Source organism: Homo sapiens, chromosome 3 (assembly GCF_000001405.40).
Source record: "Homo sapiens chromosome 3, GRCh38.p14 Primary Assembly".
Taxonomy (NCBI): domain Eukaryota; kingdom Metazoa; phylum Chordata; class Mammalia; order Primates; family Hominidae; genus Homo; species Homo sapiens.
This window is the reverse complement of record NC_000003.12, coordinates 122,771,147-122,798,275: the sequence shown is the minus strand read 5'-3', so window position 1 is coordinate 122,798,275 and position 27,129 is coordinate 122,771,147. Positions and strand designations below refer to the sequence as shown.

General features: G+C 41.6%; 2 protein-coding genes across 8 annotated transcripts in view, besides 1 other annotated feature; one reads left to right on the top strand and one right to left on the bottom strand.

Moving 5' to 3' along the window:
- Window positions 1-3,207, bottom strand: part of SLC49A4 (solute carrier family 49 member 4) — an 86,071-nt gene extending 82,864 nt beyond the window's left edge. The window contains exon 1 of the mRNA NM_032839.3: window positions 2,741-3,207. Within this exon, the coding sequence (NP_116228.1) occupies window positions 2,741-3,083 (343 nt within the window). The 5' untranslated portion in view covers window positions 3,084-3,207. The remainder of the gene's footprint in view (window positions 1-2,740) is intronic.
- Window positions 2,881-3,370: a silencer, noted in NCBI's record as "silent region_14645". NCBI's record gives its function as "represses an Ori minimal core promoter by ATAC-STARR-seq in GM12878 lymphoblastoid cells {active_cell/tissue: GM12878}" and the evidence as "EXISTENCE:reporter gene assay evidence [ECO:0000049][PMID:35858748]".
- The window catches only part of HSPBAP1 (HSPB1 associated protein 1), a 53,833-nt gene continuing 31,148 nt past the window's right edge, over window positions 4,445-27,129 (top strand). For 4 of the 7 annotated variants that reach the window (NM_001320728.2, NM_024610.6, XM_005247762.3 and 1 more), the window contains exons 1-2: window positions 4,445-4,659; window positions 20,370-20,555. In NM_001320728.2, the coding sequence (NP_001307657.1) occupies window positions 4,596-4,659; window positions 20,370-20,555 (250 nt within the window). In that variant the 5' untranslated portion in view covers window positions 4,445-4,595. Of the gene's footprint in view, window positions 11,868-20,369; window positions 20,556-27,129 lie in introns of all 7 variants that reach the window. The other 3 variants (XM_047448919.1, XM_017007179.2, XM_047448918.1) reach the window with 2 other exon arrangements.

Sequence of the window (27,129 nt, the reverse complement as noted above, 5' to 3'; positions counted from 1 at the left end):
TTGGGGAATAATATTGAAAAATGCTCCTGATAAAAATAAAAAGAAACTATAACACAGCATTTTCCCCTGAATTTAGCCAACCTTGTTAAGGGAATGACCAAGGAATTATCACAGATTGGAGGAAACTAAAGAGAAATTACAACTAAATGTAACAGAGGACCCTAGACCGAATCCTGGAACAGAAGAAAAATACATCAGTGGAAACAAATACAATCTTTTTTCTTTTTAAAAAAATATTATTGTAACATTGATTATAGGTAAAGTACTACTTTGGGTTTGTTTGTTTGTTTGTTTTGAGACAGGGTCTCATTCTGTCACTGAGGCTGGAGTGCAGTGGAGCAATCATAGCTCACTGCAGCCTCTACTTCCTGGGCTCAACTGATCCTCCAGCCTCAGCCTCCCCAGTAACTAAGACTACAGGCGCATGCCAACATGTCTGGCTAATTTTTGTATTTTTTGTAGATTTGGAGTTTCACCATGTTGCCCAGGCTGGTCTCTAACTCCTGGGCTCAAGTGACCCACCCGCCTCAGCCTCCCAAAGTGCTGAGATTACAAACATGAGCCACTGAGCCCAGCAGAAACCCAGAGAAAATCAATATTTAGTTTAAAAGCAAACAACAATAACCCAAAGAAAATCTCCCTTTGGTAGGAGAAGCCCTTCTTCGGCATCTAGCACACATCCTCTGCAAAAGTATTTGCTCTAGCTGGAAGTTCTACAGCAGTCAAGACACACCCATTCAGGGCTGGGTATCTTTGTTAGAAGGTTCTTCCTTGTATTGCTTTGAGTTACATTTCTTTGTAACTTGACTCAGTCTAGTTCTTCCTCCTAGAACAACACATAAGTCGAATTCCTCTTTGACTTGATCTTCACATAGTCTATATCTTGCCTCAAGTTTCTTTTTGAAGTGTGATACACACAAGTTCCCTTCATTTTACACATCATGATTTTTATACCCTTTATCATTCTTGTCGCAGAACCTTTAAAGTTCTGCAGTTTGTCAAATGGCCTTCTCAGAATCAAGCTCAGAACTAAACACTAATGTAGAGCCTATCAAACTATTTTGCTTCTTGTTTTGGACACTATGTTTCTATGCCTAAACTGTCCTTTCTTTTTTAGCAGCTACATTATATTGTTGATCATTAAGGAATTCACAATCAACTATTCCTTAGTCTTTTTCACATGGATTCCAATGAAGGAATTCCAGTGAAGGAGGAGAGAAGGAAGTATAACTACTAACATCACCCTGCTATTCTATTCTCTTAATAACCAACTAATTTTGAGTGCTAACTACATGCCAGACAATTGCAATTCTATACCTACCTACACTTGACTTTTGCTGAGGTCTGAATGTGTTCCCCTCAAATTCATATTTTGTTTATGTATTAATTTTTCTGAGACGAGTCTTGCCCTGTTGACCAGGGCAGAGTGCAGTGGTGCCATCACAGCTCACTCCAGCTTCGACCTCCTGAGCTCAAGCAATCCTCCCACCCCAGCCTCCCAACGTGCTGGGATTACTTGAGCCACTGCGCCAGGCCTCAAATTCACATTTTGAAATCTTAACCCTCAAAATGATGGAATAAGAAGGTGCAGCCTTTGGAAGGTGATTAGGTTATGAGGGTGGAACCCATGTGAATAGGATTACTGCCCGTATAAAACAGACCTCAGAGGGATTCCCTAACCCCTTCTTCCATCTTATGTTATAGTGAAGAGACCACTGTGTAGGAAGCAGGCCCTCACCCGACACCGATTCTGCCTGAGCCTTCATCTTGGACTTCCCAGCCTCCAGAACTGTGAGAAATAAATTTCTGTGTTTATGAACTACCCAGTTTATGGTATTTTGTTATAGCAGCTCCAGTGGACTAAGACAACCTTCCAAATCTGACTAAAGAACTCATTGCAACAAAACTTATAAAAGGTTGAACAGAAACTGTACAAAGTAGCTCCCAGGCATTATTCAATTAATAAATATAAAATCTTGCACAACAGCCTCTTGAGGGTAGACTGTCACTACTAATCATTTATCCATACTTATGTGGTAAGTATGCCTTGATTCTCAGCCCTATGGCTTTTTCTTCTCAGAGAATCACACTGGCAAGTGGTAAAGTGAGATGTCCAGGGTACCATTCTAAGCAAGCATCTTCACTCATCTGCAAGCTTTAATTGAAAGTCACAAATCTCAACTGAGAAAGCCATCTAGTCACATACACACATTTTAAAGCTGCCGAGCACCACCTTCCAGAAACCAAAGTGTCAGATCTGAGTTTCCCAATAGCTCTTCCTGGGCTGGAGTCATCTATTACACAAAACGAACTCATTATTTCCTTACATATGGGCACCGTCAATCTATTTTCCGACCTTTCATCCTCAACATCCCCATATCCCTTTGAAGTCAAAGCATCAGTCATTTTTGTCAGGTGTAAAACACATACACCGCACGTGCACGGGGATGCTCTGATGTTCACAATGTGTAAAAACTTGAACGTTTAGAGATCGCTTAAATCCCTGGTGTTGCATAAAGGGCCTTGATAAAAAACATAAATATTTGCAAGGTTGCCTTTCCATATTTGTCGCTTTGGGGACGGAGGGTTCCTAAGTCAGAAATGGAATGCTAGCAACACTCTATCACCTCACACAACCCCTATGCCGGGGCCAAGGGAGGCGGCTGGCAGGCCTGGAGCGCGGGCAGGCGCCTGCTCCCGGAGGAGAGACAGCGCGGGCTGGCGCTCCGCGACCCCTCACCTCTCTTGTCCAGGAGCCACATGAACGCGAAGCAGGGCAGGAAGCCGATGGGCCCCCACAGCACGAGCAGCGCGATGTCCCAGCTGGAGAAGCCGTAGGCCTGGCGCGCCGAGTTCTGGATGGGACCCCAGGTGTTCCAGACCAGGCCCTGAACGAACGCCAGCAGCGAGAAGAGCAGCAGCACCAGCCAGCGGCGCCCGTATACCCGCCCGGGACCCGGGACCGCCGCGGGCAGCGCCGCCGCCGCCGCCTCCCGGCTTCTCCAGGAGGCCCCCAGCCCAGGCCCGAGCCCGGGCCCCAGCAGCGGCTGCCTCTCCTCTTCGCTGCTCCAGCGAGAGCCCATGGCGACGCGTCGCCCGCGAAGCCACTGCCGGGCGCAGTCCGGGTCACCGCCGACTAGCCCAGCGCAGAATAGTCCTGAGCAGCAGGAGGCGGAGGCTGCTGTGGTCGCCCTCGGCCTCCGGACCGCGCCTGGTGCGCCTGCGCGGCCCGAGCCGGGCCGGCGGGGAGGCGGGGAGGCGGGGCAGGCGGCAAGGAGGCTGGGGTCCGCCCTCCCCTCCGCGGGTGGCGAGGAAACACCGGCGAGAGGAAAGGAGCCAGGTCCCAGACGGAGGGCAGGTAGCGCTGAAAAGGCAGGGACCAGCGCGGCTGAGTCGGGGAGAGGGAAACTCCCAGAGAGGCTGTATTCGAGGAGGTTGGGCAAGGAACCCTGGGGTGTTTGGAGGAAGTGTCCAAGTTAAATCTTGTGCCTAATAAACAACTCAGTGACCTGTTAAGTGACGTCAGTTAACCTGATGCTTGCTTCTATTTTGGGCTTATTCTCATTTTTGTTGAGTTAGTAACTTCAGAAATTATAGGCGAAGGATAAAGTTTAAGCGTAGTTGGTCCCAGGGGATTATCTCATAAAAATCATTTCTTACGTGCAATAAGTACTACCTATTTTTGTTACTTTTTTGTCTTACATATCCAAAGAGGAGATTCCAAACTAGCCAATTTCATTCATATATATGTAAACTTTACCCATTTCGCCTGCCAATAGGCGAGCAATAAAGGTATGTCCAGTAAAGTTGGAAGATTTTTGCCCCAAAGATCCATCTCCAGTGATTATGATTTGACCACAGGGTAAACGAGAAGAAAGGTGGTTGTTGATCTCTTCACACAGCTGTTTGTTTATTTTGGTATACAAATTCAGAAGCCTGACAGCTGTGGATTAGTGTCCTTGAAAACCTAAAGTCAAGCAATTTGGCTTGTCTGGATCGGGAAATGAGTCACAGGGAACGCAATCACAGGATTCTTTGCCCGAGGTTCGTATTTCCCGGCAGCCACTAAAATCAGAAGGAGTCAGGTTACCACCAGAAGGGCAAGAGAGGTGTAAGAGAAGCGTGAGCTAGCCTCGCATTCCAGGCTGCCAAGAGCGGCTCGCGAAAGCTCACGGCAGAGACCCATCCCACCGCCGGAGCCCCACTAAGCGGCAAACCTTCCCCTAAAACTCCAATCCTTTAGGGTGGAGAAAAGCCGAGGTGGAAAGGAAGGATCTGACTAGAAAAGGAGAAACAGAAACGAAGCTAAGACTACAATAAAGAACGCTAAGGTCCGGGTTAGGTAAAAAGCGCCACAACTCAGACCACGTGTTTGTATTTCCACACCCGGGGTATCAAAACAAAGCTGCGTGGTCCCGCCCAGCATCCGTCACGTGACCTCCACGTGAGAGCCGGCGTTTCCGTAGGAGCCGGGCGGGAGTCGCCGGGGCTCCTTCCTGTGGTGCAGCTTCGGGTCTCGGAGTTTGGCCCCTACTCTGACCCCACCCCAGCTCCGCTCCGCCTTGGGTTCCGGCAGAACCCGCCTTGCGGTAGCCATGGCAGCAGGCTCCGAGGCGACCACTCCTGTGATCGTTGCGGCTGGGGCTGGAGGGGAGGAAGGTAGGTGCCAGGCTGAGGTCCGACCCTGAGTACAAACCCAATGCCAGTTGACTCTCGTGGCACCCCTCGTGGGGCCGTTTGCCTTAGCCCCAACCCAGGTCTCTCTGGCCTTGCATTAGACTATGAAGAAAAATCTATATTTTCTAGTGAGCGTGGCATTTCTCGAATTGTGGCATCCAGATTTTTGATCGTCGTAGGGTAGCCTACGAGTGCTGTTTCACGCATGGGGTGTTATTTTTGTTTTGTTTTGTTTTATATTTGCCCATCATTAGCTAAATAGAGGTGTTTTGAACGTTTAGAGGGGATTAAAATTAAATTTGTGAAATTGAAGGCAACCTTTGAGATTAATGGAAGTTATCTGAGACTTTTGTGAACAGGGATTATGCGCTTTTATTCTATTTCAGTGAACCCTGGTTTAGCAAGTGGGGATGAGGTTTGGAGGCCCATGAGCCTGAGATCCCTGTTATTATTTATTGAATGATTGCACCGTGCAGGGCTGTGTTCTGAATACTGTCGCAGGATCCAGAGACTTTTGAATATTTATAACAATACCTTTTCCAAAGGAGCCTAGAAAGGAAAAAGAATGACTTACTATGTGGTCACCTGAACTATTCTACCAGTAGTACACTCTGTGAGGGTTGTTAGGAGGAGGGATCTCAGTGGGGAGAACATAAATGCTTCAAGGAGCGAATAGTTTGAGGTCGGCCTTTCTTTTTCTTTTCTCTCTTTTTTTTTTTTTCTTTTTTTGAGACGGAGTCTCGCTCTGTCACCAGGCTGGAGTGCAGTGGCGCGATTTTGGCTCACTGCAACCTCCACCTCCCAGGTTCAAGCAATTCTTCTGCCTCAGCGTCCCAAGCAGCTGGGACTACAAGCGTGCCACCACGCCCAGCTAATTTTTGTATTTTTAGTAGAGACGGGGTTTCACCATGTTGGCCAGGATGGTCTCGCTCTCTTGACCTTGTGATCCGCTGAGGTGGGCCTTTCTGATTGGATGAGATGGTGACAAACTCAGGGAGTGGTGCTGGGGTTCAGGAAGTCAGGGAGCAGAAAAGGATGGATGTATTTAGGGGTCAAACAGTTTGCTGAAGGGGGAGATGCCCATTCCAAGCAGAAGAAACAAATTATAGCCTCCTACTATCTGACCACTTTCTACCAGGGAGACAATTCTTGACCTTCATCTATACCTCCATTGCATTGATCTTTCCATTTTCTATCCACTGCACCCCCTTATCCAGAATGTATGTCGTTCCTTTGAAAAATTCTCTTGTCCCTTCCTGCACTTTTTTCTGACAAAACTCTTACTCTGGATGAAGTCAACCTTTTGCCCTCTTTGTACCTGCACCCGTGGGCCTGAACTTTGCTGGAAAAAGTCCTGCACAAACTGATGACCGTATAAAGTGAAAATGGCCAAACTCTTGAATATTCAGTCAGTATGGGCTTGAGATCCCTCTGATCCTCTGTTTCTCTAGTGAGCCTGCTAACGTTCTCCAATGACAAATTCCCAAACTCTATAACCTCTCTCTGCCTCTTTCTTAATTTCAGGTAATGACTTTGCAAGTCAGGTCAATTCTGCATCTAATCTGTCTACTTTTTTCCTTTCACTATCAGACCGTACTTCAAATCATCCACATTTTCTCACCTCAACTACTACTGTATCTTCCTGACTGACTTGTGTCTCTGTTTTCTATTCTGTGCCCCTCTAATCCCTTCTCCACTCTGCAGCAAAAAGTGACTCTTCCTTATGTAAAATTCTTCAGCGAATTACATTGCCCTTAGAAGTTAGAATAAAACCCAGATTCTTAACCGTGGCCTGTAATAATCCTTGGTCTGGGCTCTGCTGATGTCTTTAGCAGGATCTCTTGTCACTCACCTCCCCTTTGGCTTTTCACATAGCTGGCTTAATCTTTAGCTTTTAAAGTATGTCACCACCTGAGACCTTACCAGATCAAACTATTTAAAACAGTCACTGTGATTTCTCTTGCACCCCCCAACCCTAGATGTTCTGGAATACAGCATCCTGCTTCTGTCATTTTACTTACTACAATCTGTAATTATTTATTATTTGTTTTTTCCATTAGATCATAAGTACCTTGAGGGCAGGACCTATGTCTGTTTCATTCTCTACCATGTGCCCAGCTGCTAGTACAATGCCAGGCACATAGTTGGCACATGCCACATGTTTGTTGAGTGGATGAATAAGGGCACTCCATGCCAAGTCCAGAGGCAAAAGGAGAAAGCATGGCATGGTCCAAGAACTGAAAGAAGTTGGTGTCAGGAGTGGTAAGAAAAGAGGTATCCTGAAGGTTACCTTAGGCCTAGTTAAGGAATCTAGACATTAAGACAGTAGGAAGCCTTAAAGAGCTTTAGGTGAGGGAAATAACATGATTAGATTTGGTTGTAGGAAGATCACTTTGGCTGAAGGGTAGAAGACCGATTGGAGGGAGAAAGACTGGAGGACAAGGTACTTAATCCCTTTGAGCCTCAGTTTCCTCCTCTGTAAAATGCATGATTATTGTGAAGATTAGAGTTAATATGTGTAGATTATCTAGCATAGTATCTGGCAGGAATTGGATATTCAAGAATCGTGACCATTTTTATTATTAATAGAAAGTGCCAGCCTTAGTAACTGATGTTGAAACTGAAAGAAAAGAAATTAGAGATGTTATGTAAGAGAATGAGAAAAATAAATACATTAAATAAAGTCAAGTGAAAGGGTCAGTATGTTCAGTACAATGATGAATACAATGGGAGTCATAGAAAAGTTCATTTTTAAAATTTTTGGTTTATTTTTTATTTTTGTAGATACAGGGTCTCACAATGTTCCGTAGGCTGGTCTCGAACTCCTGGCCTCAAGTGATGCTCCCACCTCAGCCTCCCAGAGCACTGGGATTTCAGGCATAAGCCACTGTGCCCAGCTGAAAAGTTCATTTTTGAGCAAACTTATTCCATTATCAAAAAATATTTGAATGGCACATGGTAAACAGACCTTTTTCATGTGGTAAAGCAAAAGACAATCTTTGCCCCAAAATAATTATAAATATCATTTTTGGCAATAAAGACATAGATAAAAAGAACAGTAGTATAAGACATATCCTAAAGGTCAGATGTAATTAGCTGGGATATGATACTCAATATGATACACATTAAGTACTTTGGAGGCTGAGAGGAGAAGGAACTAATAGAAATTGGGTTGGTTTGTGCTTCCTAGGATAATTTCTTGAAGATGAGCCAGGTGAGGATACCAATTCTACTAAAGTAGAAATAATGACAGAGAACCTGGGTGAAAAAGGGGAAGACTTGTATCCATTGAATCCAGAGAAGAGCAGGGTGAAAACAGAAATGCTGAAGTGACGAAGAGGGAAATCATGGGTTTCAGTCTTTGCAGAAAAATAGAGCAAGGTACCACAAAAGTAAGGAAGTAGAGAAAGGTACTGGAGATTTGAGAGTGAAGAAGCATCCAGGCATGCTGGTGCATGCCTGTAATCCCAGCACTTTGGGAGGCGAGGCAGGCAGATCGCTTGAGCTCAGGAATTTGAGACCAGCCTGGGCAACATAGTGAAACCCTGTCTCTACGGAAAATACGAAAATAAACTGGGCATGGTGGCACACGCTTGTAGTTCCAGCTGCTTGGGAGGCTGAGGCACAAGAATCGTTTGAACCTGTGAAGCGGAGGTTGTAGTGAGTTGAGATCGTGCTATGGCACTCCAGCCTGAGCAACAGGGCCAGACCCTGTCTCAAAAAAAAAAAAAAAAGAAGCTTTGGCATGATTGCCATAGGGTTGCGGGTGATTAGGAGTGATAGGAGTGAGTCAGTGCTTGGGAGCAGGAAAGGGTAACTGGTAGAGGTGAGCATAAAATCGTGGAACTAATCACCTTGGTTATGCTTGATAGCTCATTCTACAGAAGTGGAGAAAACAAGTGCTTAGTTTCAATAAAGTTTTATACATTGCTAAAAATCAGGTATTCTTATACAGTTATTTGAAAGAAACATTTGTTTAGCATCATTTTATGCTAGGCACTGGACTAACCTCTAGGGAGATAAAAGTAAGAGGTCTGCCTTCAAGAATGTGATATTGTTTGTTTGAAATAACAGCTTAGAAATAATTAAAAACAAACATGAAACTACTTATTGTTAATTAAGAATTAATTTAAATTCTGAATGTGAAATGTTACTCTCAGAATCATACATAGATTGAAGCATTCAGTGAAATTAAAAATTGCAGTTATTTGAGTGTGATTCTATCTTTCAAACTGAGGTTATTATATTTCTCTCTATTGGGCTGTTTTTTAGTTTTTAGTTATAGCCAAGATTATTCCTTGATAAAGAGGAGAATGTGTTAGTAACTCTTCTTCCAGTGCTTTCTGAGGAAATATCTCATCTAGAGTTGTATGGAATTGATTTTCACTTAGAACTAACATTCCTACATAACTGGATTTATCTTTTTCAGTTGGAGACCCGTACTCACCATGTCATTTTTGTTCTCATTTTTAAAAGGGGCAAAGGGTGGAGGAGTTTAAAGAAAAGCAAAAGTCTGTGTTATCTCAAAAAGTAAAAAATTCCCATGTTAGAATCCATATGTAATTCATAATGTAGATAAAATTTTTAATTTCACTGAATGCTTGGTATTGATGAGTATCAGAAAAACAATACCATTTGTTTTATTGTGGTAAAAACATATAACATAAAATTTACCATGTTAACCATTTTTCAGTGTTAGTAGTGTTAGGTAGGTACACAACATTGTGAAGGTGATCTCTAGAGCTTTTTCATATTGCAAATCTGGAACTCTGTATCCGTTAAACAATAACTTCCCTTTCTCCTCTTCCCCCAGTCCCTGGTAACTGCCATTTTATTTTCAGTTTCTAGAAATTTAACCACTTTAGATACTCCATATAAGTGGAATCATATAGTGTTTATCTTCTTGTGACTGGCTTATTTCAGTTAGCATACTGTCTTCAAGGTTCATCCATGTTGTAGTATATGATAGAATTTCCTTCCTTTTTAAGGCGGAATAACGTTCCATTGCACGTGTAAGCATTTTGCTTATCCATTCGTCAACAGACCTTTGAGTTGCTTCCACCACTTAGCTATTGTAATAGTGCTGCTGTGAACATGGGTGTGCAGATGTCTTTTCAAGACCTTACTGTAGAATACTTTTGAGGAAAAGTAAGATAAAATAATCATTTATTTTAAATTATCGAAAATTCACTTGGGGAGGCTGGGGTTCAATGGAAACATTTGGGTAGAAATTTTGGAGGTACGTTGCAAAAACCTTTAGTATTTGAGACATCATTCCTTCTAGTGTTAACTTCACTTAAAATATAGACAGATTTCCTTTTTCTTGCTTTGGTTTGAGACTAGTATTACTTTTGAATTTATGAGCCATTTTTTGAGGTAAAGATAAGTTTTCTGGGTTAACTGAACAAGGGTTTATAAGTGTAGGAGGATGGAAAGAAGCTAAAAGGCTCATGAACCTTTGGTAAGTGTCCAGGATGTAACTGTCTCAGGTGCCCAGCCTGAACTTCCTGTGTGTTTACTGCCACACCAAGCATTGGTATTGATAAGGCTAGGTCATAACAGCCGCAGCACTAATGTTTGTGGGTTTTTTTCAGTGATAGACATCACCTTCTAGACCTTGAAATTCAAAGGGTTTATGGTTAGCCGTCATTGTACTTAAGTATTATGTTACCTTTCAGGAGAATTTTCTTAGTTTGTGTTGACATTTTAAAATAGTGGTTACAAAATGAAAAATTCTTTTTGGTGTAAGTTTTACCATTCAGTCTTCAGTACTAATCCAGTAATTTTGTCAGATAGTACTTGCACGATTCCATCAGGTTTTTCTAACATGACCCAAATGGTCATTATTTTTTGCCCTAATATCTACCATTCCAGAGGTTTTAAACTTTCTTATATGTATATACAATAGTTGTTTGATGAAACACCATATATACACTTAGATGTATACATTCAGAAATAAATGATCTCACTGTGCCAGGACCCAGTTTTAAATTCATGCTGTATCATTATAGTGATTCTCTGTAGTGTAATGTGTGACTTACTCTTATGTCAACTTCTAAAGGTTTTTAAAAATCTTTAATTTTTTCATTAAAATTATATCTGATGAGAGACAAGTTAATTTCAATTTCAAGATTTTTGTTATATTCTGTTAATATTCGGAGTGTCCTGGACACATGGTAAATGTTCCTTATTCTTGTCTTAAAGTCTAAATCTCAGATACAAATCCAGGCCAGGTGTTAATTGACAGACACCAGATAGTTGGCGTTCTCAGAGAAATTAGGTTTCAAATTATCTTGTACTTTACATTAATTTTAAAAAATTACTGAGAAGGACGCAATTTATTTTTGATGATGTTTCACTATCTCCAAAGAATTAGTTGCAACTCAGGCTGTAATAAATTGACTGGAGAACATCCTACATTTGGAGAGAGAAAAAACTATTGGGTAACACCCAGATCACTAATCTGTTTTTTTTCAGTAGTTTCTAAATCATCTAGTTAAAAATTACTACCTGCTGCAAGTTTAGACCTAAATACCCTTATCCTTTGAAGACTGTTGAGGTTGCTTCAGAATTTTTATAGCTCTTTGCAAAATATTATTAGCATGGAATAACTGGGTGCATCCATAGGCTGTTTAACTAATACAGGGTAGCATTGCATTCTTCTTTAAAGGAAATTGTAACATTTAAATTCATTAATTTAATGGCCCAGTTTATTGTTGATTAAATTATCAGAAGCTAAATTAGTTTTATCTCACAACCAGCTGATTGTTTTATTTCACGATGGGCCTGAAATTCTGTAAATATGCTAATTTCCTGTTATGGTGAACATCCTGCTACTCTGCTTTGCACACACTTCATAGTGCTCTCATTCATTTAGCAAATGTTTTGGCATTTAATATATACCAGTCACTAGGCCAGGCACTCTCTCAGCAAATTTTAGTGTTGGAGGTCTCCTATTAAATAATCTCTGGGATGTGTGGGATTTTTAGATCAGATAATTACATTTTTTAAATTTAACTTTATGCTAGAGAAGAAATATTTACTTCTTTATAGCTTTTTTGTCAAAATACTACTCATGTGTTACTGTCGCCTGTGTCCATATTTATAGAAGGCTACCCAGTTATATCTACCCAAGTATGAACCATTTTGGGAATAATCAAAGCCATGTGATCTATTGGCTCTAATGTAAGGTAAGTAGAATAAATAAATCGCTACCCCAAAGTAACTCATGCTTCTGTTTTTCTCTGCCCTTTAAAGTTCCAGAAGCAAAATGTTCAAAGGTTGAATATTTTACAAGCTTGGAACTGAAAGAATGCTACAGTGTGTCAGACCAGCCATGATTCATCCAGCCCAAGCCACAGAACAGTGTAGAGGGAGAATATGGTTATCCTTGAAAATGATGGCCTCAGAAAGCAAGGTGTTATACCAGCTATGAATTAATAACAGTCTAGACTAGAAGGAATTTTGTTTTTTTTTTTAATCTAAAAGGATTCAGGAGGTAGTAGTTGGTTCAGTAGCACAAAGATGAACATATTTGCATTCTTTTGGTTAAGGTTTGCGATTTCCTGGACCTTTCATTTGTCTCTCAAGAGGGCTAATCATCATGTCTGCTTTTCAGGCAGTATATAGAAAAGGATGAGGGCAAAAAGGCTGACTCGCAACTTCCATATGTGCGCGCGTGCACACACACACACACACGCACACACATGGAAATTATAGATATATATTCCCTATCTATCTATCTATCTATCTATCTATATTTGGCTACTCCTGTCTGCAAAGAAGTCTGGGAAATAAAATTTTTCAGTCAGTCCTGTTGCCCAAAGTTCTTTAGTAAGGAAGAAGAGAATGAGTATTGGGTAAGTAGAAGTTAAATAAAAAATTATTCAGTGACACTTGTTAAGGCATGGTAAGGAAGACTATTCAGGACCATCACCATAGATGTAAGGACTACTGTAACGGGGTCCCACAGCTGGGGAGAGAGATTGGGCCCAACTCCAAAGACAGCATGGGCAAGTGAGAATTTACAGCCAAGGAGCAGAGTCAGTGGATAAGAAATTACTAAGAGGAAACATCAGGGGTAAGGGGAAATCTGGAAAAACCAACCTAACAGGATTCTTGCTGAAGGCAGGCCAAGGTGATCAGATACCACCTGGAGGTTGGCTGGGGGTGAAGAACCTGATCAGATATCAGGGATGGGGGCAATTCTTGCTAAACTGACTTAGCAAGGTTCTTTCCTAAAACTGGGTTTTACAAGGAAGTGCATAGATGGACCTAGCAGAAGAATTAAAGCCTGACTAAAGTTTGGCCAAGCAAAGAGTCTTTGTCACAGGCAACTAGCACTCCCTGCCATGAGTGCACGTGCACATACACTCATGCACTCCTCAAAACATTCCTCTCTCCCTGGAGCACATGTGAATGATTATCTATGAATTGATCTTGAGCTTTCCTGTGTATCCTTTCAGGTTATATTTTTTCTTCTGAGTTTTTAGCCCTAGTTAAATCACACAGTCAATTCTCTAGAAATAGGATTGTGCAGTGGAAAGAGCACTGGACTTGGACTGAGGGGACCTGATAAATCTGGTTCCAGTCCTCTGACATCTAAGCTTCCATTTCTTCCTTCAATTAATGGAAATGAATTACCGTCTCTGCCTGTTTTACAGGCTTCTTATAAGATCACATGAGCACTTTTAATGTCTGTAAAAGTGCATTGTAAACAGTGAAGCATTAAACAGTTAAATGTATGGTATTGTTATGATGCCTGTGTTCAAAATCAAGCTACTCATCTTCCCAAAAGAATGAGCTATTGCTCCTGACTTCTCTTATGGCAAGTCACCAAGTCTAGACACCTCAGTCTTTTGGCTACATCTGACTCCCACCCCACATCTCTGGTTGTAATAGCCTTTGATATTATTCTCTTAGTATTTCTTCATCTTCACCATATCTGACTTACTCACTGCCACCCCTGTTGTTCAGGCCTGTATCATACTTATCGCTTGGCTATTGCAATAGCTCTCTGAGTCAACTTCAGGTCCAACTCTCCCTTCCCACCTCATATCTCTACATATTTCTAGACAGCCCTCATTTTTAGTGGATATAGTATACTATGGGATTGCCTTGTCATAATTTAGTAAATATTTTTCTGCTTTGGGGCATCAGGTTGTTTACATTTTTTGTTGTTATAGTGTGGTAGTAGACATTTGTGTGTGTGTATGTGTATGCTGTACATAGCTTATGATTAATTATTTGTTACAGTAAATTCCTTTAACATGAGTTACTGAGATAATGAACAGTTCTTTCATTTTTCCCAGTTGTTTCCCAAAGGATGATTCCAATTTATATCCCATGAAAAACAGAATACTATTTATCATGAATATATTATAGCTTTTCATAGTGTAGGGATCAAAATATGCCACCCCCAAATATGCCACTTTGGTATATTGATTATTTTGGGTAAAAGGCATTGAAAAGGCTGGGCATGGTGGCTCATGCCTGTAGTCCCAGCACTTTGGGAGACCAAGGTGGGTGGATCACAAGGTCAAGAGATTGAGACCATCCTGGCTAACATGGTGAAACCCCATCTCTACTAAAAATATAAAAATTAGCTGGGCATGGTGGTGTGTGCCTGTAGTCCCAGCTACTCAGGAGGCTAAGGCAGGAGAATGGCGTGAACCCGGGAGGCGGAGCTTGCAGTGAGCCGAGATCCCGCCACTGCACTCCAGCCTGGGCGACAGAGCGAGACTCCGTCTCAAAAAAAAAAAAAAAGAAAGTTGCCCTCCCTGTACCAGGAACAAGGAAGACATTCTTATAACCAAAGATGGGTAATAAAGGCTGAGAGAAATCTGTACAAACAAACCTTGTTAAACCAACCCTTAACTTCCCAGTCACTTTTCCACAATTAACTGCAGTCACCCAACTTCTTTGTCTTGTCATGTTTTCTAAATTTACTCTTTGTCCAACCTACTATATAGATGTTAAGTAAGCTCTAACTGCTTCTTTCGGTCTTCATTTTTCTTGTGAGGGCTCCCATGTACATGTAAAAAGTACTGAATCATGTTTGTATGCTTTTCCCTGTTAACCTGTTTTACGTCAGCCTCAGCTAGAGACTTTAAGAGGGTAGAGGAGAAATTTGACGTTTTGTACAAGTAGTCTACAGCAAAACTTTAAAAACGTATAATAAAAAAATGTGGGTGTTCATTTTCATACACGCGGAATCCAGGCACATCAAGTCCAGGAAGATTTGGTGCACTGCAATATAGGTAATCTTGTACTTAGATTCATAGGCCTGTATGGAAGGATGAAGAACTTGAATGCAAAGTTGCTGTACATGTCAAAAGTGAAAAACACGACAAGCAGCAACCATCTCAAGGAAAAACAGAAAATTGTATTCTTGGTCACATAATGTTATCCTTTACAAGGCTCTTTACCATGTAAAGGTCACCTGAAGATAAACCAGGGGCTACTTTTCAGTGAGACCAAGGGTGCCTTCTCTTTCTCACTGCACACACTCCCTGAGTCTTCTGCCTTTCCCTTCTAAGCATCCACGCTGCCCTCCTCACTTAGAATGATGACTGTGTAGAAGGTAACAGATTGTTCTCAAAATGTCAGCTGCCAAGGGCTTAGAGCCTGCTGACTTTCACTGAGGGCTTAAGAAGGGATTCCAAGTTTTTGTCCTTGTCTGAGAAAGGAGGCCAAACTGATTTAAGTTTTCAGTTTCTTTAAAAACAAGCCTTACCTTTAGACAAACACAAATTACTCAAGTTCTTTGATGATTCCTTCCCTATCCCTCTTCCTTTTATCGTAGAGAAGAAGGTTGGGTGATAGAAGAATTTGGATTATTTAAGAATTTTTCTTAATTTTTTGAATTAAGTGTAATTATAGATAAAGTAACTAAAATAGAGGGTTAGCTGATTGTTCTTGAGAATCATAAATATATATTTTGAGGGTCAGAGAGTATAAAGGAGCATCCCTACATTCTCAGCAGTGGCCTCCTGATCTCTTGAGAATCCTTTCTTTCTAATCCTTTTTTTGACCATTCACTGCACATATAGGAACATTTTATTGGGAGGTTTTTTAAACCTCCCAAAAAACTTGCCCTCTTAAGATGTCTTTAAAAGAGAAACTTGCTTGTTTTTTAATTCAAAAATTACTAATCTTTACTATCCTATCCAAGGTTAATATTTTATGATTCTGTGAAATTTATTTAAATAGTAAGTTACAGTGTTGGTTTGTAGAGCTCTTCTGTACTGTTTATAGATGCAGTTGAAACCAAGGATTAATATTGATTGCCATCTAAGTACATCTTTTATCCTTTTAAAATTGCAATAAAAATAATATTTCCCCTCCCAGGTTGACTGCTATATTGACTCAGTAGTCTTTCTGGCATTAACCTGTGATATAACGAGTAGAATTGTGACTGACTCCAGCAACTCTAGTTGTTCAAGAGTAGTTCCCATCAGCATTTCTTACATAATCCTCTACTTAGGAAGTAGTATTTTCCAAAAAATCACATCTTTTAAAATTTGAAGATGTAGTTGGAAAGCCTTTTTTTAACACTAAAGTTTCATTTTTGACATTGTATATTGTAAATATCTACCAAAATTTAAACACTTAAAATTTAGTATGAGAAAAATCATTTAAGAATTAGGTCTTTTCACCTGCCTTCATGTGTTTATCACAGCATTATTCACAATAGCAAAGAGATGGAATCTGCCTAGGTGCCCACTAATGGTGAATTGGATAAAGAAAATATGGTGTGTATATATATATGCCATGGAATGCTACACAGCCATAAAAAAGAACAAAATCATTTCCCTTGCAGCAACATGGATGCAGATGGAAGCCATTATCTTAAATTAATGCAGAAACAGCCAAATACCACAAGTTCTCACTTATAAGTGGGAGCTAAACATCAAGTACACACAGACATAAAGATGGGAACAGTAAACACTGGGAACTCCAAAAGAGGGGAGGGAGAGAGAGGAGCAAGGGTTAAAAAAACTACCTGTTCTCCCTCTCCCTCTCTCTCTCCGTCTCCCCACGGTCTCCCTCTCCTACGGTCTGCCTCTGGTGCCAAGCCGAAGCTGGACTGTACTGCTGCCATCTCGGCTCACTGCAACCTCCCTGCCTGATTCTCCTGCCTCAGCCTGCCGAGTGCCTGCGATTGCAGGCACGCGCCGCCACGCCTGACTGGTTTTCGTATTTTTTTGGTGGAGACGGGGTTTCGCTGTGTTGGCCGGGCCGGTCTCCAGCTCCTAACCACGAGTGATCCTCCAGCCTCGGCCTCCCGAGGTGCCGGGATTGCAGGCGGAGTCTCGTTCACTCAGTGCTCAATGGTGCCCAGGCTGGAGTGCAGTGGCGTGATCTCGGCTCGCTACAACCTCCACCTCCCAGCCGCCTGCCTTGGCCTCCCAAAGTGCCGAGATTGCAGCCTCTGCCCGGCCGCCACCCCGTCTGGGAAGTGAGGAGCGTCTCTGCCTGGCCGCCCATCGTCTGGGATGTGAGGAGCCCCTCTGCCCGGCTGCCCAGTCTGGAAAGTGAGGAGCTTCTCTGCCCGGCCGCCATCCCATCTAGGAAGTGAGGAGCGCCTCTTCCCGGCTGCCATCACATCTAGGAAGTGAGGAGCGTCTCTGCCCGGCCGCCCATCGTCTGAGATGTGGGGACCGCCTCTGCCCCGCCGCCCCGTCTGGGATGTGAGGAGTGCCTCTGCCCGGCCGCGACCCCGTCTGGGAGGTGAGGAGCGTCTCTGCCCGGCCGCCCCGTCTGAGAAGTGAGGAGACCCTCTGCCTGGCAACCGCCCCGTCTGAGAAGTGAGGAGCCCCTCCGCCCGGCAGCCGCCCCGTCTGAGAAGTGAGGAGCCCCTCCGCCCGGCAGCCACCCCGTCTGGGAAGTGAGGAGCCTCTCCGCCCGGCAGCCACCCCGTCCGGGAGGGAGGTGGGGGGGTCAGCCCCCCGCCTGGCCAGCCGCCCTGTCCGGGAGGGATGTGGGGGGGTCAGCCCCCCGCCCGGCCAGCCGCCCCGTCCGGGAGTGAGTTGGGGGTTCAGCCCCCCGTCCGGCCAGCCGCCCCGTCCGGGAGGGAGGTGGGGGGGTCAGCCCCCGCCCGGCCAGCTGCCCCGTCCGGGAGGTGAGGGGCGCCTCTGCCCGGCCGCCCCTACTGGGAAGTGAGGAGCCCCTCTGCCCGGCCAGCCGCCCCGTCCAGGAGGGAGGTGGGGGGTCAGCCCCCCGCCCGGTCAGCCGCCCCGTCCGGGAGGGAGGTGGGGGGGTCAGCCCCCCGCCCGGCCAGCCGCCCCGTCCGGGAGGGAGGTGGGGGGGTCAGCCCCCCGCCCGGCCAGCCGCCCCGTCCGGGAGGGAGGTGGGGGGGTCAGCCCCCCGCCCGGCCAGCCGCCCCGTCCGGGAGGGAGGTGGGGGGGTCAGCCCCCCGCCCGGCCAGCCGCCCCGTCCAGGAGGGAGGTGGGGGGGTCAGCTCCCCGCCCGGCCAGCCGCCCCGTCCGGGAGGTGAGGGGCGCCTCTGCCCGGCCGCCCCTACTGGGAAGTGAGGAGCCCCTCTGCCCGGCTGCCACCCCATCTGGGAGGTGTACCCAGCAGCTCATTGAGAACGGGCCATGATGACAATGGCGGTTTTGTGGAATGGAAAGGGGGGAAAGGTGGGGAAAAGATTGAGAAATCGGATGGTTGCCGTGTCTGTGTAGAAAGAAGTATACATGGGAGACTTTTCATTTTGTTCTGTACTAAGAAAAATTCTTCTGCCTTGGTATCCTGTTGATCTGTGACCTTACCCCCAACCCTGTGCTCTCTGAAACATGTGCTGTGTCCACTCAGGGTTAAATGGATTAAGGGCGGTGCAAGATGTGCTTTGTTAAACAGATGCTTGAAGGCAGCATGCTCGTTAAGAGTCATCACCAATCCCTAATCTCAAGTAATCAGGGACACAAACACTGCGGAAGGCCGCAGGGTCCTCTGCCTAGGAAAACCAGAGACCTTTGTTCACTTGTTTATCTGCTGACCTTCCCTCCACTATTGTCCTATGACCCTGCCAGATCCCCCTCTGCGAGAAACACCCAAGAATGATCAATAAAAAATAAATAAATAAATAAATAAATAAATAAAAGAAAACATATTCAAGAGTTTAACGGGCAGAGAAAGAACATGCAACTCGCTGGATCTAAATTGAGAGAAATGGAGTCAAATTGGGTATCCCTGGTCAGTAAGAATTATGAGATTGAACAGACTATTGTTCAACTAGAAAATGAAATCTATGTGGCCGGGTGCGGTGGCTTATGCCTGTAATCCCAGCACTACGGGAGGTCGAGGCAGGTGGATCACGAGGTCAGGAGTTCAAGACCAGCCTGGCCAAGATGGTGAAAGCCCGTCTCTACTAAAAATACAAAAAATTAACCTGGCGAGGTGGCGGGTGCCTGTAATCCCAGCTACTCGGAAGGCTGAGGCAGAGAATTGCTTGAACCCGGGAGGTGGAGGTTGCAGTGAGCCGAGACTGCGCCACTGCACTCCAGCCTGGGCAACAGAGCGACAGAGCGAGACTCTGTCTCACAAAAAAAAAAGAAAAAGAAAGAAAATGAAATCTATCACATTAAGGATCAATATGGAGAAGCAAACAAAACATCCCATGAGACTTCTGAAAAGACAATTTTATAGGTCGAAGAAAAGTTTGGCTTTCACAGAAGGGATGTGAACTTTCAATGAACTATGAAGGATAACAGCATCTTCCAGAAACCATTGATATTTAAATGTTTAGAAATCATAGACTGTGTGGGCCGGGTGCAGTGGCTCACGTCTGTAATTCCAGCACTTTGGGAGGCCAAGGCAGGTGGATCACGAGGTCAGGAGATCGAGACCATTTTGGCTAATACAGTGAAACCCCGTCTCTACTAAAACTACAAAAAAATTAGCCGGGCGCAGTGGCGGGCGCCTGTAGTCCCTGCTACTTGGGAGGCTGAGGCAGGAGAACGGCGTGAACCTGGGAGGCGGAGCTTGCAGTGAGCCGAGATCGCATCACTGCACTCCAGCACTCTAGCCTGGGCGAGAGAGCGAGACTCCGTCTCAAAAAAAAAAAAAAAATAAAAAAAAAAGAAATACTAGACTGTGGATGGTTGTAGTAATTCTATTTGTATACCCTTGGAAAATAAAAATGTCTAGCTTGACGGTTAAAAAAAAGAAGGAACTGAAATGCAACAGTGGTTGTTTTTGGTTTGTAGTCTATAGGCAACCAATCAATTTGTTCTTTTCAGTATTTTCCAAATTGTATTTAATGTGTGTGTATTAACTTATAATTGGAACTATATATACTTTTTATTGTTAATAAGTTAAATCATAATTTCTAAGTAAGTATTTTGGAAAACACTATACACATTAAAAAAAAAAAACAACAAAAAAAACTACCTGTTGAGTACTGTGCTCACTATTTGGGTGATAGGTTCAATAGAAACCCAAATCTTGGCATTCTACAATATACCCATGTAACAAACCTGCACATATACCCCTGGATCTAAAAAAAGAAAAGAATCAGGTCTTTTGAGGCCACATGTGTATATAAACAGCAGTAAATGACGTATACATTATTGTAATTGTAGAGAATGATTTGCCATGATAAAAACAATATTAGCTATTTTTTCTCCATATTGTATGAAAAAACTTGATAGTTTTCTATCTATTGCTGTATTCATTTCTCTTTCTAGGTGAACATGTCAAACCTTTTAAGCCAGAGAAAGCAAAAGAAATTATCATGTCTTTACAACAACCTGCAATCTTCTGTAACATGGTGTTTGATTGGCCAGCACGACACTGGAATGCTAAATACCTTTCGCAGGTCCTTCATGGCAAGCAGATACGATTCAGAATGGGGATGAAAAGCATGAGCACAGGTATGACTATAGGTAATCACCATCATAATGTCTCTTCAGGAGCATCCCTACATTCTCAGCAGTGGCCTCCTGATCTCTTGAGAATCCTTTCTTTCTAATCCTTTTTTTGACCATTCACTGCACATACAGGAACATTTTATTGGAAGGTTTGGAAAACAGTTTGGCTTAAGTGTTTTTTGTTTTTGTCTGTATAAACTATAGACTGTTTTGTCTATAGTTTATAACCCCATACAAAATGTATTTGTTCATGTATCTTATATGTATATTGCTAGACATTATTGTGGTTCATTAAATGTTAGACACTTAATAAATAAATATTTGTTAATGTGCTCTTATTCATGTTCCTATTAGACCAATACTAATCTAATAGTCCCGTCCACTTTTTACTCAAGTAGAATGTGTCCTTTTATTTGTGGCTTCGGGCACTATTTATAGTTGTATATAATTACTTGGTTGTAATTTTATCCCTCTGCTTTATTGACTGACTGACCTGTTTTGCATTGCACAAACATGAAACATATGTAAAGCTCGCTCTTTTATTCTCTTAAGCAAATAGATTCTGCCTCTTCTTTTCTGAAATCAAAATCATAACATTTTGATTTGTTTGCCCTATTTTCAGATAAAGCAATTACCATTAACTCTAAAATTTAGGTAATTTACCATTAACTCTAAAATTACAGTTTCTAATCTAAGAGAGTCTATAATCATTTTTCTGATGTTTAACTTGTATTTCAATATGGGTAAGTTTGGTAGTCTAGAATTTCAGTTTTTTAAGCATTGAGGTAAAGTGGCTTATTAATATCTATTAATAGCTTAGGAGAACTAGAAAAGTCCCCAGCTTCGCTTCCTGCTGCTCCAAGCTGCTTTCTCTCATTTCGACCTTGTAGTATAGCTGACAGAATTATTTAGTTTTTGGTGTCTGGAACCCCTTTGTACTCCTGTGACAGGTGTAGCATGTTGAATATACCTGGAACTCTTTGTCATCTCATTATAATCAGAGACCAAACTGTTTAAAATTCAATTTAGACCAGCAGCAATAACATAAAAATCAAATTGTGCCTTTTCTTTCTTGATTTTAGTCAAAGAAATCTGCCTCTCACTGAAGTGTCTGTTAGGCACTAATTTGGAGAAAAATAGAAATAGTAATTTTTTCACATTCTAGTTAGACTCCAAGTACACAATACTACCAATAGCTAATATTTATTTAAAGCTATTGTTTCAGGCACTATTGTGAATACTTTGCACATACGGTATTAGCTTTCTTAATCTTCCTAAAACCTTAGGACAGAGCTGCTGTTATCCCATTTTATAGATAAGACACAGTAATTTGACATTTTCAAGTTAATACTTAAGCACAAAAAAAAGGAAAATAACTCTCTGAGGTTGTGAGAAATGACTCTGAGCTTTTAGTAAAGACGATGTTCTTTTTTATTAAATAAAATCCACATAACATAAAATTTAGCATTTTAGCCATTTAAAAGTATGCAATTCATTGGTTGTTAGTATATGCACAATATTGTACAATCATCACTACTATCTAATTCTAGAATATTGCTATTATCCCATAAATAAGCCCAGTACCCCTTAAGCCATCATTTTCCATTCTGCCTTACCCCAGGCCCTGGCAACCACTGATTTACTTTCTGTGTCTATGAATTTGACTACTTAGAATATATCATATAAGTGGAATCATTCACTATTGGCCCTTTTGTGCCTGGCTTCTTTCATTTAGTATGTTTTGAAGGTTCATCCATGTTGTAATACATATCAGTACTTCAATTCTTTCTATTGCCAAATAATATTTTGTTGTACAAATATGTACATTTTATTTATCTATTCAGTTGATGGACGTTTGAGTCATTCCATTTTTTGGCTATTACAGATAATGCTACTATGAACATTCATGTACATGTTTTTGTGTGGACATGTATTTTCATTTCTCTTGGAGTAGAATTGCTGGGTCATACAGTAATTCTGTGTTTAACATTTTGAGAAACCGTTTTCCAAAGCAGCTGCATCATTTTATATTCTCACCTTCAATGTATGAGAGTTCCAGTTTTTTCCACATCCTTGCCAACACTCCATTTTAAAAATTATAGCTATTCTAGGCCGGACGCAGTGGCTCACGCCTGTAATCCCAGCACTTTGGGAGGCCAAGGCGGGTGGATCACGAGGTCAGGAGTTTGAGACCAGCCTGGCCAACATGGTGAAACCCCGTCTCTACTAAAAGTACAAAAAAAAAGAAAAAAAAATTATAACTATTCTAGTGTATGGGAAGTATTATTATAGTTTTGATTTGTGTTTCCTTAATGACTAATAATGTTGAGCATCTTTTTATGTGTGTGTTGGCCATTTGTATGTCTTCTTTGGAAAAATGTCTATTCAAATCCTTTGCCCATTTTCTAATTGTTTTTGTCTTTTTATTATTGAGTTATAAGAGTTCTTTATATATTCTGGATACTACCCTTATTAAGTATATGACTTGCAAAGGTCCCACTACCCAGAGATAATCACTAGTTATATTTTGAGGTATGCCCATGTAGGCCTTTTTGTATTTTAAAAATAAAGTTATATTAATTTTCACAGCTTGCTTTTTTTTTTTCTTTTACTCTGAGCAGCTTCTCTTGAGATTGTATGATTTTTCAATGGCTACGTAATATTTCATTGTTTGGTAGTATCATAATTTATTTTAAAGTTTTGATGATTTAGATTGCTTACAAGTTTTAAATTTTAAAAAGACTGTAGTGAACATCTTTGCAAACAGATTTTGTCAGTTTCTGATTACTTCCTTAGGATTGATACCTAGAAGGAGAGTTACTGGATCAAAGGATATGAGCATTATCATCAGTAGCAACACTATCTGTGAAGCTTCTTACACCAGAACTTCTGAATCATTCTGATTGCCTGTCTTGAATGGTGTCTTGTGACTCAGTGACTTACATCCTAAATATCTAGCATCTGCCTGCTTCTGTCTGTCTCCACAGCCATCCTCTAGTGGGCGTTACCCTGCTCGCTGTCTCTCACCTCCATAGTTGCGTGGCCTCATCCTAGTCTCTCTGCACCCCTTGCCCTCCCTTCCCACACCATTCCTCATACTGAAGCCAGAGATGACTTTTAGGAAAACAAATCTAATCTTATTTCTCTGCTTAAAACACTTAAATGGCTTCCAGTTACGCTTAGGCTAAAGACCAAAATGTCCATTGTGGTGTGGAAGGCCCAGCATCATTTCTGTCCCTGAGCTCAGGCCAGACAAGCATTTTTCAGTTTCTGTATTTCCAGGGCTTTGTTTCTTCCTACTTCAGGGCCTTTGCATGTGTATGTAGTTCCCTGTGTCTAGCCTCTCTTTTCTCACTTCCCTTTCCCCCTACTTTACCTAAATAATTCATCTCCTTCTGTCAGATCTTAGCTTAAATGTCATTTTTCCTGACCAAATCTATCCTTCCCCATACCCCAAATCAGGTGTGACTATTCAATTACCTCAGAACACTTTGTATTTCTTAGTAACACTTAGCACAGTTGTAATCACATGGTTGTATAATTACCTGTTTAAAGTCTCTTCCCCTCAAGAAGGTCACTTCTGTGAGGGCAAGGGCCACGTCTCATCATGGGCTGAGCACCTAATGGACATTGAATTTGTGAAGTGAAAGAATGAAAGACTTTGAAACATACAGCTAAGGGCTTTGCACGAAGGCGGTTTCTATTTACATTCTTTTCAGAACATGTGAGGGTTCCTGTTTTGCTACTCTTTGGCCAAAACTGAAATTTATCTTAAAGATCTTTCAGGCTGGCCATGGTAGCTCATGCCTGTAATCCCAGTTCTTTGGGAGGCTGGAGCAGGAGGATTGCTTGAGCCCAGGAGTTCAAGACCAGCCTGGGCAACATAGCAAAACCCTGTCTCTACAAAAAGTATAAAAAAATTATCTTGGCATGATGGTGTGCACCTGTTGTCCCAGCTACCCAGGAGGTTGAGATGGGAGATCACCTGAGCCTGGGAGGTCGAGGCTGCAGTCAGCTGTGATCATGCTACTGCACTCAAGCCTGGGAGACAGAATGAGGCCCTGTTACGTGAAAAATGTTATCTCATTATTTTAATTAACATTTATTTGGCCGGGCACAGTGGCTCATGCCTGTAATCCTAGCACTTTGGGGGGCCAAGGTGGGCGGATTACCTGAGCTCAGGAGTTCGAGACCAGCCTGGGCACGTGGCAAAACCCCGTCTCTGCTAAAAATACAAAAAATTAGCCAATTAGCCAGTGTGGTGGTGCACGCCTGTAATCTCAGCTATTTGGGAGGTGAGGCGTGAGACTCGCTTGAACCCCAGAAGCAGAGGTTGCAGTGAGCCAAGATAGTGCCACTGCACTCCAACCTGGGCCACAGAGTGAGACTCTGTCTCCAAAAAAAAAAAAAAAAAAAAAAACACATTTATTTGATTGCTGGTGATGTTGAACATACGTTCATGTTTATTAGTAATTTGTATTTTTTCCTGATAATTGGTCTTTGACTATTTCCTTATTGGGATTTTAGGGTTTAAAAATTTTTTTGAATTCTTCATATATATTATGAAGATTGTGGCATGGCACAGTGACTCACACCTAAAATCCCAGCACTGTAGGAGGCCTAGACAGAAGCATCACTTGAGACTGGGAGTTCCAGAACAGCCTGGGCAACATAGCAAGATCCTGTCTCTACAAAAAAAAAATTTTAATTAGCCAGGTGTGATGGTGCACACCTGTAGTCTTAGCTACTCAGGAAGCTGAGGCAGGAGGATTGCTTAAGCCCAGCAGTTCAAAGTTCTGACCACGCCACTGCCCTCCAGCCTGGGCAATGGAGTAAGACCCTGCCTCTAGAAATAAAAAAATAAGTAAAAAAAATGAAAAAATAAAGATTGTGTTGTTAACTAATAAGCTTCCTAGTTATTGTTTGCTTTCTCATTTTAGCTTCACAGTTTTATATTTTTATATAATCAAATAATGCTTTATTAACATTTTTATTTTAACTTCAGAAATTCCTTCTTTATCCTGAAAATAGAGAAATATTCTAATAATTTTTTTCTAATTGATTATTTCTTTTTTACATTTAACTATCCATTTCTTATTTATTTTGGTATATGGTAGTCAATGAATTTTTTTTACACAAATAGCTAAATTTGGAAATTTTATTCCTGTACCATTTACTGAATATTTATTTTTTACCCTACTGACTTTGGAAATCACCTTTATTATTTTACTATATTCTTGTATATTCCAGCATCGGTTTTTGGGCCGCATATTAAGCTACCAGTTTGGGGGCCAGTAAAACAGTTTTAAAACATGATTTTAGTTCTGGTATGTATTTTAATATTTGAATATACAATTCATCCTCCCTAATTACTCTTTTTTCTTATATATTATTGAATTTTATACATCTAAATGAACTTTAGAGTTACACAAAGTTCTCACTGTAAAGAAATCCTGTTGGGATTTCAAATGAAAATTCATTAAGCTCTATAATTAATTAATCCCATTGTTATAATACTGTATCTTCCCACACAGGAACATGTTATCTTTACTTATCAAGTCTATTTGGCTCTCAGTAAAATGATTTATAGTTTTTATATAGGTCTACAGATTCCTTAAAATATTGTAAATTTATTATAACTGTTACGAAGGAAATATTTTTGCCTGTTACAGTTTTCTAACTGGTTGTGATTGGTCATAGAGAAAAGCCAGTTGTTTCTGTGTGTTTATATTGTGTGCACCTACTTATTAGCCTAGGTAGTTTTTTGTTGTCTTGTGGGTTTTCTAGTTAGACAGGCATATGATTTTAAAAGTAAGGATAACTTTGTTTCCTCTCTGTTGAGTGTATTTCTTATTTCTGTTTTAGGTCTTAGGTCTTGGTTAGAATTTATCTAGAATACTTGAAATAGAAGTGTTAATAATTGGCATTTTTGAATATCATGTGTTCCTTAGTTTATTTTAGGAAGCAGATAGAGAACATCACATAGCATTTTGGATCAGATTTGTTTCCCAAGATACGTGCTCAGTGGCAGTGTTGTATCTCAGTTGGCAGTAAATTTGGCAAGCAGTTGTAGAAATAACCCTGAACATCTGAAAGCAGGGGGATAGAGTGATCGAAAGACCTGTTTAGAGTTTATGCATCATGTAGTATTTCTTATTTGTAAAATGATGAAAGTTTAACAAAATGGAGAAATAGTTGTTATCCTGTTGTGCAGAAACTATTTTAGGACCCCTTTTTATAATAATTAAAAGCAAGCTCAGCTTGTACAACACTGCCAAATCCTGACCTCAGTTGAGCTTCTTACCTAGCACTTTACAGTAAGTAGGATGAACATTATAGTTGCCTAGACTACTTCAACGTTAAATGAAAGAATCATGGTAAAATTAGAAAGGAATAATTTCATTGCATAAGACAAACTAAGAATAACAACTGTACTACCCAGAAAGAAATTGTCATTATAACAAAATCAGAGCAGTACCTTTAATGATGCTACTACCAGGAAAGAGTGAAAAAATTATATCATTATGGAAATGAAAAGATCTGTCATTTCCATTCATTCCATTCATGATAATTTTCC